Genomic DNA, 13,218 nt, shown 5'->3' on the forward strand with positions numbered 1-13,218 from the left:
GCTAGGGTTAAGAGTGATTTACGCACCCTCATTACTATTTTACGTTATTATGTATTTGTGTATATATTTACCTTTACCATTGAGAGTTATGCTTTCATATATTTTCATATTACTGTTTGGTGTTCTTTAATTTCAATTTGAAGAACTCCTTTTAGCACTTCTTGCATGGCAGTTCTAATGGTAATAAACTTCTTAGTTTTGGTTTCTCTGGGAAAGCCTTTGTATCTTCTTCATTATTAGAGGAAAGATTTTCCAGGTATATTATTATTGGTTAGCAGTTTCTTTCTTTCAGCACTTTGAATATATTATCCTATTCTCTCCTAGCCTGGAAAGTTTCTGCTGAAAAATTCATTAATAGTTTCATAGGGATCCTTCCTATGTGATGAGTCACATTTTTCTTACAGCTTTTAAAATTCTCTCTTTGACTTTTAGCAATTTAGTGATAATGTGTCTTAGTGTAGACCTCTAGTCTTTAAGTTCCACCTGGGGTTTTGGGGGCTTCATAAATCTGGATGTTCATTTTCCTTTTCAGATTTGGGAAATTTTCACCCATTATTTCTTTAAATAAGGATTTTGCCCCTTTCTCTTTTATTTTTTTTCCTGAGGTACCCATAAGGTAAATATTGATTTGCAGGATGTTGTTCTGTAAGTCCTGTAGGCTTTCTTCACTCTTTTTCATTTTTTATCTTTTCATTCCTCTGAAGAGATAATTTTAAATTACCTGTATTTGAGCTAATAAATTCATTTTTCTGCATGATATTCTGCTGTTGAAACTCTCTATAGAAATTTTGAATTCAGTTATTTTCTTTGGTGGTAGAATTTCTGTTTGGTTCTCTTTTATGATTTCTATCTCTTCGAGGAACTTCTTGTTTTGCTCCTGTATCATTTTCCTGATTTATTTATTTGTCTATCTGTGTTCGCTTGTAACTTATTGAGTTTAAGATGATTATTTTGAATTCTTATCAGGCAGTTCATAGATCTCCATTTCTTCATGGCTGGTTACTGCCATTTTATTTTGTTCCTTTGTTGATGTCATGTTTCCCTGATTCTTTGTGAATTTTAGGACTTGTATTTATGTCCATGCATTTGAAGACATCATTTTTTCCAGTCTTTACAGACTAATCAGTCCAGTCAGAGATTCTGGGTGAGCTGGTTGGTCCGCTGGGGGCAGGACTGCTGTTGATGTCTTTGGGAAGGTAGCCTGTAACCTGGGTTTCTGGGAGCAGGCCTGGTTCTGGTTTCCACTGTGGTAGGTCTGGTTTTGGGGTCATGATAAAGTCTAATATACACTTTTCTCTCCCTTTCTTCCACAGGTGAACTCCTGAGCCAATAAGATCTCTTTGGGCAGTTCATTAAGTGGGCTAGGGAAATACTAATGTGGAAGTGAAACCATCCTTTCTACTCTGCATATTGTGCCTTTTCTAATTTATGTGCTCTATTTATGTGCTGCAGTCTTTCACCTGGATTCCAGAGTTCTTATCAAGATGTTTTGTCCATGGATGTTTGTTAAATTAATTTCTGTGGGATGACAAGGGCTGGAACCATCTATTCCACCATATTGCTGGTGTCATTTCCCCATATGTTGCTTTATTTACATTAATATTTTATATGCTTGAGGTATCAGAAAAAGAAGTGGAAACCCCAAAAGGCAGTTAGACCCCGAGGCATATGTACCACTTTAATGAAGGGCAATAAATTGCAGAGAAGAAATCAGCAAAAAAAAGGGATTTGGGCTCCTAGGGGCAGTAAATTGTGAAAATGTGACTAGTATTGTAGATAAAGGCTGTTTAGTATGGTTTGTCATACAGATAAGAGTTGTTTACCTCTTCCAGGTACAGGAGAGGAGAACACCTTTAAAAATGGAGACCTATGTCACTTTTACAAAGGAAAATTTATGCTGTGATTTTAGGCAGAAAGTTGACACCAGAGAATTCTTCCTGCTGCTTCTCAATTTCCTTCAGCTCAAAAATGATCCTTATGCCAATATGGAATATTTTTGGGGTGGCATATTCTGCTCCTCTTCAGCATCCTTCCTGGTATGTGAATTACCCAACTCTTGTGTTCTCAGAAGTTGGGCTTGAGCCTTTTGTTCAGGCTTATGGGTACATTTTGTACTCTCTAGGAGCTAAAGCAGATGGGAAGGTAGTTTTTAGCTAAGATATTTTTACAAATCATAATTTTTATGTCTATAGTAAAACCAAATTTTAAGCATCATTACAGCAAATCTGAAGTGGATAAATGAACTGATAAATTTTTAAAAAAATTAAGATAGTATTAAGAAATTGACATGTAGATTCTAAACTAAGATTTAATAGCTAACAATGAAGACATCTTCCTTATTTTTATGACTGCTGAGAGCAAAAACACAAAGACCTAAAGCAAGTAATTGAAATAAAAAATGATGGATTGGGCTGGCAGCTATTCTTTAGATATAAAACTAAATGCAGTCTGTCTGGAATTTAAAGGGAGTGGGTGATCCTTAGCCCTTCCTTCAGATAGACATGCAAGAAATACAAAGTTTAACCCTTAATAAATAAAGCCTGGGAGTAAGGAAATTCAGAAATTTGAATCATATGACCAATAAAATGTCTCTTTTTATATCACTATTGATATCATTTGTGTAAGGGTTTGAATGGCATTTAAGAACCTCTTGGTTATATGAAATTGAATTTCAGTGAAACTAGGCTGTTATTTTGTGAAGTATCTGACTTAGCATTTTTTAAGGAAGATATCATTTTAATTAGTGTATTTGAAGGTCGAGTGGATACTTTTACTCTTTTTAAGTAGTGGTTTTCTTCACAAACTTCGGTTCTGTGTCATATATTACTGATCTTTACAATGTCTCTGAGTTACTGCTGTTTTCCATTCTTAAATTGGGAGAACTTTATTCCTGATTGAGAAGCAAGAACTGAAAATGTCACTTTTCCCTTTGAGGTGTGGAGGAAATCTTTTGGAAATGTTCAGTCTCTAGTTTCGTAATGTGTAACTTATACTTGTATAGAACGTTAGGTCAAAATTTTTTTACCAGTGGCATTTCTCACATTCAGGTGTAAGGGCTCGATGCTTGCGTAGATACAGGAAATCAAACTCACAAAAAGTCTCCACTTGTTTTAGGGAATTCAGTACCCAGCTGAGAGCAATTACAGGCAATATTAATATGTTGGCAAGAAATGTCAGAGTTCAAATGGCCAGTCTGAGTGTTCACTTTTTCCTTTATTTGCTCTGTGATCATGGCTTTAGAAGGTTTTCTTGTTAAGAATAGTTGTGACCTCACCTGAATTGAAAGGTGGAAGTAATGTTTCTTATCATGTGTGGCATGGCCTCTGGTCAAGTGAAAATTATTCACTCACTTGGAAAATGTCTTTGGTACAGGAAATGATATCCTGAAATTCATTAAGGGTTTACCATTGGGTTGGATTCTCTATATGAAGTGATCACAGAACTTCAAACATCATTCTATGAATAACAGCTTCCTAGGGTGCATGGAGAAAAACTTCATTTTCTCAAATATTTATTGGGTACCAACACAGGAGACGGGCCTGTACTAGGTTATTGATGTCTATAGATAGTTAAGGAAACTTAAGAAGTTTCCTTAACTATCTATAGTTTCCTTAACTGTACCTCAACTATATCACTTGCAGCTCATTATGTGTAGGTATCTCTGCATGTATGATCTATTTCCTTCTACTGCTACAGACTAGTAGATATCACAGTTGGCAATTCTACCAAAAGAACCTATAGTCCCAGCTACTCAGGAGGCTGAGGGAGGAGAATCACTTGAACCCGGGACACAGATGTTGCAGTGAGCCAAGATCGCACTACTGCACTCCAGCTTGGCAACAGAGCAAGATTCAGTCTCAAAAAAGAGAGAAAAAAAATGCTCCTTTTGGTTTCCGATCTGTTTCCTTAGGGAGAAATTGTTCCCCTCAAGCTCTCTTTCTAAGAGAGTGGACAGAAATGTCTTATCTCTCCAGTCGGTAATTATGACTTCTCTGTAAGTCTACTACTACAGACTAGTAGAAGGAAATAGATGATACATGCAGAGATACCTACATGTAATGAGCTGCAGGTGATATAGTTGAGGTACAGTTAGATGCAGATAATACAGTTGAGGTAGTTATAGCTGAGGTGCAAGGGACAAAAATTAGACACTGTGTGATTAAAAGAAAATCATCCATCATCTGAGCAACAACTATTCATTGAACACCTCTAATGTGCCAGGATCACGCTTTGTACAAGAGTTATGATGGTGAACAAAATAGACTTTCAGAGTTTATTCTTGAATGGTAATGTATTAATTAAAAGGTCTCATTAATGTTTAATTACAAACTAGATTAAGTATTGTGGTTCAAGTGGACAGCTGGGTCAGGGGTGGAGTATATCTAGGATAGAGAATTTCAGTTCTATATTTTACTAATTAACTGGTAACCAGGAGGTATGTTCTATACTTACATTTAGCTCTGTGGCCTGTTGTGCTTCAATTTCGTCATCTTCAAAACCAGGAAGAGCTATATTCATCTTATCTCACAAAGCTGATTAACATAAATGAAGGAGCCTTGGAAAATGGAAAGCATTATACAAATGTAAGTTGTATAGAGTTCCACGGTAATTGCTAAAAATACTGAGGCAAAGATAATCCTTTGTAGACAGAGGTTTTGGTTAACTTGTGAGAATAGAGTTAGTAGAATGCTAGACATAGAAAACAGATTTCAGTGATTTCAGGAGAAAATCAGAGGGAAGGAAGAAACATGAGGTGGGTCCAGAAGTGGAAGTCTTCAATTCCTTTAGAAAAGGCACATGTAGCTGGAAGCAGTGGCTCACGCCTGTAATCCCAGCACTTTGGGAGGCCGAGGCGGGTGGATCACAAAGTCAAGAGATCGAGATCATCCTGGCCAACATGGTGAAACCCCGTCTCTACTAAAAATACAAGAATTAGCCAGGCGTAGTGGTGGGCGCCTGTAGTCCCAGCTACTCGGGAGGCTGAGGCAGGAGAATCACTTGAACCCAGGAGGCGGATGTTGCAGTGAGCCGAGTTTGCACTACTGCACTCCAGCCTGTCAACAGAGCAAGACTCCGTCTCAAAGAAAAAAAAAAAAAAAACAGTCCCCGGTGTGAACATGGCACGTGTATACATATGTAACAAGCCTGCACATTGTGCACATGTACCCTAAAACTTAAAGTATAATAATAATAAAATAAAAAAAAGAAAAAGAGAAAAAAAAAAGCTCCTTTTGGGTTCCGATCTGTTTCCTCGGGGAGAAATTATTCTCCTCAACCTCTCTTTCTAAGAGAGTGGACAGAAATGTCTTATCTCTCCAGTGGGTAATTATAACTTCTCTGTAAGCTATAAATAGGCAAAAAAATTCCCTAAGGATGTATGCCTGGGGTGTTGTAGGTTTTAGTCATACCTGAAAGGGTTGCTCCTTCTTCCTTTTTCAGAGTACTCTGTATCGTTATCTATTCCTTTCATTTTTTTTCTGAATATTTTCCTAACTTATTTTGTCCACATGTTCTACAGGTAAACCTTAAAGATTAAATTCTGTTGACCCTGTGCTTTCTTCAGTCTAACTCCTTGGCACACTGAAACCACATTTGATATTGAATGTTTTAACATAATCTATTTCAGGAAGTAAAAAAAATCCTAGAGCTCTCTCTTATTTTCCTTTATGTTAAATAATCACCCTCTCTGACATTGTAGCTTTTTAAGGAACACATCATGTAGAATTGATAGGTTCTTTTGGTAGAATTCCCAACTGTGATATTTATTTCATGACTACACATCATTCTCAGCAGGTCAAAAATCATTGTATTATGAACATCTAAATTGGTTCTTTAATATATTTTTGTTAGCAGCAGCACATCTCCTGAAAAGCAACACTGAAGTCGATTCTGCGGACATAAGGATGATTTGGCATTGACATCTGTCAGCCTGTTAATTACTAAGGAAGATTTGGCTGAATTAATTTGTTTCCTGGTTAGCTCCTTTTCTCTGCTCCATTATGCCCTTTACTATGTTGCAAACTTGAACAAATTAAAGATACATTCCAAGATATGAGAAGAATTTTCATCAAATGTATGAAAATCAAGTACATGAGAAATTCAGTTTCCAAAATATAGGGCATCATTGTGCAGACGAACAGCTTTTTGAACCTTTCTGTTGAGGAACACTTCCAGTTCTATAACATTTCTTCAGACATTTAATGACAGTTTCCTCTGTGCCAGGCACTCTCTGTAAGGTGAAAGCTCAGGCTGGGAAGAGGGGTGGGAGTAGGGTGAATGGGAAGCGGGTGGGGACAAGGAAATTAACATAAGTGGACATGCACAACAAAAAGGCCCTTTCGGGCGTTAATTTTGTATCACCTGCCTGTATTTCTATTCAAACATGAAAAATTTTTGAAACAAATTTGAAGGGGGAGTGGTCCTTCACCAATAAGGCACCAATAAGGCAGGTTATTTTCTCCTTTGTACTGGCAACCATCTTTTCTGTAGTTTATGCTCTGCTCACACCCTATGTGCTTGTTTCCCATCTGAGATAACCCTGCCCCTTTTCTGTTTTCATGACCATTATTCAATGGAAAATTGGAATAAAGTAAAACAGGACAAGCCTGAATTACTTTGGGCTCTTTGTTATATCTCATCATTTTTTTTGGTCTCTTTTCTCCACTACATTTAAAACAAAAAATAACCTTTGCCTGTGCTTTTCCCTCACTTCTAAATATGTTTTTTTTAACCTTTTCTTTCTTCTCTTTTGTGCTTGCTTTCTTAGTTAACATTACAAATTTTCTGTTTTTTCTAAAGCTAATTTTAAAAGGAGGCCTATAATATTTGTGTAAAGTTTTTCATTCCTCCAGTCATCCCATTTTCTATATGACTTTAATGTGTTATCTGCCAGAACAACTAGAATAGATATCTCCATTATTTCTGCACAGATGGCAGAGTGAACAAGACTTTGTCCTTAGAATTTCCATCAACAAAACAAAACCAAACCACTTACTATATATGTATTGCCATTCATGTTTAAGTGCTGAAAATGGACTTGGAGACTTATCTCAGCACTATCACTTATGTACTCTAACTCTTCTTTATTTGAGTAGGGAATCCTTCTTGTGACTTCCTTCAGGGTGTGGACACATTGAAAGATTAATTATTCACATATCAGCTGGAAAAAAGTGAGGTGACAAGTGTTGACATTTGCGTTTCTGAAAGAGGCACATTGTTACATCAAAAAAAGGATAATGCCAATTAGGATTTCATATGTGTTGTTTTATTTTCACAATTACAATGTTAGAGGAAAGCTCAAAAGTAAAGGCTTTTGTGAAAATGATCAGATGATAAATCTTGATACCTGTGTAAGAAGTGAAAGCACCAGAGTTTTTTTAGAAGATGAAAAATGAAAAAAAAAAAAAAAAGAAAAAGAAACAATTTGGCATTGTTAGAAATTCTTTATTGGGAGTGGAAAAACATGAAATAAAGGGAAAATAGCTTTAATCAACTCCAAATTCCTTCTTTGGAAGTGCTGTGTGTAATCTCCAATAATGGTGGTGTACATTTCCCCCAACTCTATTAAAACCATCATTATCATTGTCATCTTCATCAACATGGTCATCATCATTGAACACACACTCCATACAAAGTAAGATGTTATGTGTTTGTATTATAAGCAGAGATTAGACAATAACTCTAATCACAAGGATGCTGTAACTAGTAGTGTAGATGGTAGATGTGCACAACAATGAAGGGATGTTTGATGGTATCTAAGTTGTGTAATCATTAGGCTTACTTGAAGAGTTTCCCCTAATTTTTCTATTTTTCTTTTTCCTTTTTTTTTTTTTTTTCAAACAGGGTCTTAGTCTGTACCCAAGCTGGAGTGCAGTGGCACATTCCTCATGGCTCACTGGAGGTGCCTCAGCCTCCTGGGCTCAAGCAATCCCCCAACCTCAGCCTCCCTAGTAGCTAGGACTATAGGCATGCCCCACACCAGCTCATTATTTATTTTTTTATTTTTTTGCAGAAACATAGTCTCACTCTTTTTCCCAGGCTGGTCTCAAACTCCAGGGCTCAAGCAGTCCTCTGTCCTCAACCTCCCAAAGTGCTGGGACTACAGGTATGAGCCACTGTGCCTGACCAGAATTTTTCTTGAATGTGATATTCTCCTTCATTCTATTACACATAATTTCTCTAATCTTCATAATTTAATTATCATTGAATTTCAGTCTATCTGATTCATGTAAAGACAACCTGTCATTCCAAACATGATTTGTCCTCTTTACAAAACTAATCTGATATGAACTGTATTTGATTCACTAGAGAACAGAGTATAGTGATGCCTCAAGTTATTGATACCTGCATTGATCAGGGTAACTAAGGCTTACTACTGGAACAAGCAGTGCTGTAAATCTCATGGGCTTAACATGAAGTCTGATATGGATTTGGGTGGGGGCTTTACTAGGGGGCTTACCTCTAAGCAGTGACAAAACTATGTAGGCTTTATTCAATTGTGTGGCTCTGTCATCTTTAAGTCCATCACTTCCTGCCTCAGCTACAGAAGAGAGAAAGAATGAACTACCAAATGAGACTTTTTAGGACTATATCACATGTGGCTTCAACTTAAGAGCAACGGTAGCTGGGAAATATCATCTTCCTGTGTACCTCCCAAAAAATAAAATGGGTTTGTGAATACATAGCATTTTCTTTATTACACTATAGAATATCCAAATAGAGATCGGATATTTTATAGTGTAATAAAGAAATTGGGAAATTAGGAGTTAGGGCTGAATGATAAATATAGCCTTTGAAGACAGTGACAATGATATACAGTTGATTAGTTGGATATTGGATAATAAAACCCATCACCTAAAGAAAGAGCATAGCAAATGATTAAAAACAGGATTTAAAGAATGGTTTTTACAATGAGGGACAATGGTAGAAGCTTATTGTGGTGTGGACTTGTAATTACCTCTTAATTTCCATTTTTTTCTTCCTTTGTAACAAAACTCTAGTTTTTTGCCTAACTAAAAGACTGTTGTGTACCCTTCTTTATAGTAGGGTATAACCACATGACTAATGTCACATATAAAAATGGAGAACGGGTGCACATTAAAGAGTAGGTAAGTGGTTAATATACTTTTTCTCTCTCAATCCTCCCAACCTGCCCTCTTTACCTTTATCTCTCCAAAATAACATGTTTGTTGTTTAATAGAGATGACATCGTCCTAATCTAAGGCTTAAGATTCCTGTAACTCTTAAGTCACACTTTGCCAAATTTTTATTCAATCACTGAAGGCTCACATTGCCTCTGAAAGAAAAAAAAAAAGCAAGTGAAATATTTCTGACTGTGAGTGTTCTTATATTGGCATCTTAGTGTGAACTTAGGGGATATGTTAGCGTTGACTGTTTTCTGTATCACCTCAGGTGTATTTTGTCTTTCCCCTCTTGACTTCACTTACCCACTCACTCTGACTAATGTCCTAGCAGTGGCAAGCATGTAGATGTCTAAAAATGTAGAAATTGTAAGAAAGAGGCTGTTTCAGGGCAGCATTTGGAAGTGGCTATTGTGTAGGGCTAACCATATCTCTCTCCTGCCAGAGGTCATGGCCTTGTTGATGGTCTCTAGTCAAGAGCAATCCCATTAGTGAAAAAAAAAAAAAAAAAGAAAACCAGCACTGACAGTGACTGCTTCCAAATATTCTCCTGTCTGCTACTATAGAATTTCCTAGTGTTTCCCATCTTGTCAATTCCTTTCCCTCACCTTTTTTACACTGAGTGAACAACTTTTATTTGAAGTGTTAGGTACTAACCCAGTTCTCTCACCCTTTACTCTGCTTCCTTCCTTTCTTAAATGCTTCCTGCTTTGTAACCCTCTGCAGCTAGTGATACATTAGTTTATGTTTGTGTTTTCTCAAGAAGTGAAACTGTTGTAGGTTGACCTATTATATAGAAGTACATACTCCTCAGTAGAAGGCAACTTATGATTGTAGAAACTGGGTGTTTCGTGAGAAGTTGCTACTTAACTGACCAATTAGGAAAAGGGGTACAGAAATGATTGAGACCTCCAAGGAGATACAGATTCATTTAAGTTGAGTGTACTGCTGCAGACATCATTTTGAATATCTGTATTACGAGTAAATGGTGGAAATTTGAAGACAAGTCCATACTTTATGAAAGTAAGAGAACAAGAAATTTGTTTCCCTAAATCTGTGAGCATACCCTATAATTCATCAGAAACAGCAAATTCACAAACACAAAATTGACAGAAATATGTAAAACTTTTCCAGCAGTTTACTTCTGAATACATTAGAAAATGTGACAGAACATAGTAAATTTCTTGTCATTTTACTTCCCAAGGGAAGTGCTAGGTTTGTAAATCCTAGAATATCATCAAATTATATTTTGAAATTTATTTCTTTTTGAGCTAGAATTTTAAAAGATTACATGTTTTTTCACAGAATACGTTCATCCAGTTACTAATAATGATGCTGAAGGAATGGAAATGTAATTTCTAGAAATCATCACTTTTCAAAGTTTTATAGTTTGTGAACTGGAATACTGAAGATGGAAGTATGATTTAATATTTGGTAGAAACAGGAGAGTTTGTTATTTGTAGCTCTGATATTAGAAATTACTTGAGGTTTCTGTTACCAAACTTCACAAAATATATTTCATAAAAAGCATTCTTAACTCAGGTTATACATTTTTTAAAAATTATTCTGAAAGGAATTAGATATTTAACATTGTAGCTGACCTAAATAAATTGGAGAAAATTCTTAAACAATTATCTTTCATTTTCCCATCAATAAATGGAGCAATAATAATACCTAATTATTTATTGCACAGGAGTCTTGCAATAATTAATTAAAGCTTTAAAGTACTTTGAAGATGAAAACAATTTTATAGGCCTCATTATTAAAGGTAATTTGTTATGGTAACCAGTCAAAGTCATTCATTTGGTCTTTTAAACTTGTTTTTAAATGCTCTATTCGGATCCAGGTGTTAATTAAAAAATTTTAAAACAACACTTAGGAAACATATGAAATTCTGCTTTCTATCTTGATGCTTAACTTGTGAAATAATAGGTAAGTTTTTTTTCCGAATTTTGTTTTTTTCATGTTTATACGCCTCTCTCAAATCCCATTGAGTGAGCGAGTATTGCTCCCAGCTCATTATTACAAAAAGAGGTTTGCCATGTTAAAGCCACTAAGATTTTTCTTTTTCTGAAGCTCTTTACTTAATGCAAAGACAAAGTGTCATCTATGATAACAATTCTGCATATGGAAAACACAAGGTTATTCATCCATTTAAACATTTATTGAGCAAATGCTATAGTTTAAAAAAGATAAGCCACTCGGTAAATTGGAAAATATAGTAATATGTCACTTGCATGAAATTTTTATCCAATGAAATAATCAAGTAATTAAATTTAAGGTGAAAGTGATTGATGTAATATAGGTTAAAAGCCAGTATGGCAAAGGCTGAAACATTACAAAGAGAGGCATCAAATGTGGTTTTGGGAAGCACTCAATTTTTGTGTAGATAATATCCTAGATGTACCTGTATTTCATAGGAAAGAAGGCAGTAGTGGTATTCTAGAACAGTGGTTCTCAACAAGGGCAATAGTCCCCTGTCCCCCATTCCTGGGACATTTATCAATTTCTGGAAATATTTTTGGTTGTCACAACTAGGGAAGTGCTACTTGCATCTAGTGGGAAGCTACTAAACATCCTACAAAACACAGGACGGCCCACCACAACAGAGAATTATCCAGCCCTAAATATCAACAAAACTGAGCTTGAGGAAGTCTGCTCTTGTTGGAAAACACAGAACTATCAAGGCACCAGATGGAGAAAGTATAAGATGTATATCAGGAATAGCTTGGCAGGAGTAGACGTTGAAGGTAACATTGAAAATGCTTTAGGATAGCCTTGATTATTAGATTAGACTACAAAGCTGACTCATTGAATCACTCACGCACTGTGAGTCATTCAATAAACATTTATATCTCAGGCAATACGGACAGAGAGATAGAAGATATAGATGCTGCTGTAAAGTTTACAATTTAGTTGGAGACAGTCAGATAAACCACCCACTGTGTGAACAAAGTGATATCTGTCAAACACCAATTCTACTGTGTCTTTAAAAAAAGTTCAATTAAAAATAAATTTTGGAAAGAGTATGCACTACATACTTCTCCACAACTTGGGACTATATACAATCTTGTTTTGTGTATCAGTTTGCCTTTATTTCAGCCAGCATTTCTTTTGGCAGTGTACTTTTAATTCCCTTTTATATAACAACTATTAGCAACCCATGACGTATTGGATAGCTTCCCTTCCAGACTCACTCTGGACCCTTCTCTGTGCTATTCCAGGCTCAAGATACTGATCTTCGGGAACTTCATGCTGAGTGTCCCTGTGTTCGGTTCTTGATTGTGTTTGGCCCAAGAGGGACATTTATAGGAGATGAGAGGGTGAGAGGAGACAGGGGTTGGGGCATTTGGTCCCTCAACTCCCTCCTCCAAATAGCCAGGTCACCACAGACTTGCTGCATCCCTCCACTGAAGGCCACACTCCTTTCAGATGCCCTTTCTTATAGAGCTACCCTGTCTGGGTCCTTATAACTGTTTCCTCTCCTTATCCCTTCTATCTAAAGCTGGCAATGTTCCTCATCTGTTGTGAGCTGTATGCTGCTTCACTATCCCTCTTTAGGAAACTGCCTACACATTTGTAAAAATCCTTTATTAAGCACTCCTCAAAGTGCCAGTCTAGGATTCTCATTGTTATATATGGGGAACATGACTTGGGAACTGCTTGTATGGTAGTTGCTTTTAAAAAGAGTTCTGCATAGGAAGGAGTCCGAAAAGTTTAAATTTCATATTATGACTTATGCACATCTATTGAAGAATGTATCTGTTAGCTTATTTATTCCTGCATGTATGTATGTATCTGTATGTATGTATTTATTTATTTTGAGATGGAGTCTAGCTGTCGCCCAGGCTGGAGTGCAGTGGTGTGATCTCAGCTCAGTGCAACCTCCACCTCCCGGCTTCAAGCAATTCTCCTGCCTCAGCCTCCCGAGTAGCTGGGATTATAGGAACCTGCCACCACACCCAGCTAATTTGTGTGTGGTGTGTGTATTTAGTAGAGACAGGGTTTCGTCATGTTGTCCAGGCTGGTCTCGAACTCCTGACTTCAAGTGATCCACCTGCCTCGGCCTCCCAAAGTG

The 13,218-nt window shown here is 36.5% G+C and overlaps 1 long non-coding RNA gene across 2 annotated transcripts in view; it reads left to right on the forward strand.

Moving 5' to 3' along the window:
• The window catches only part of LOC105377998 (uncharacterized), a 49,280-nt gene extending 36,327 nt beyond the window's left edge, over positions 1-12,953 (forward strand). Inside the window, exons 1-3 of one of the 2 annotated variants that reach the window (XR_007059753.1) lie at positions 1,433-2,036; positions 4,459-4,583; positions 8,012-12,953. This is a non-coding gene — a long non-coding RNA (uncharacterized LOC105377998). Of the gene's footprint in view, positions 1-1,432; positions 2,037-4,458; positions 4,584-8,011 lie in introns of those variants that run through there. The other variant, XR_001744339.2, reaches the window with a different exon arrangement.
• Positions 12,954-13,218: the final 265 nt, after the last annotated feature.

The sequence above is a fragment of the Homo sapiens genome, chromosome 6, assembly GCF_000001405.40.
Source record: "Homo sapiens chromosome 6, GRCh38.p14 Primary Assembly".
Taxonomy (NCBI): Eukaryota; Metazoa; Chordata; class Mammalia; order Primates; family Hominidae; genus Homo; species Homo sapiens.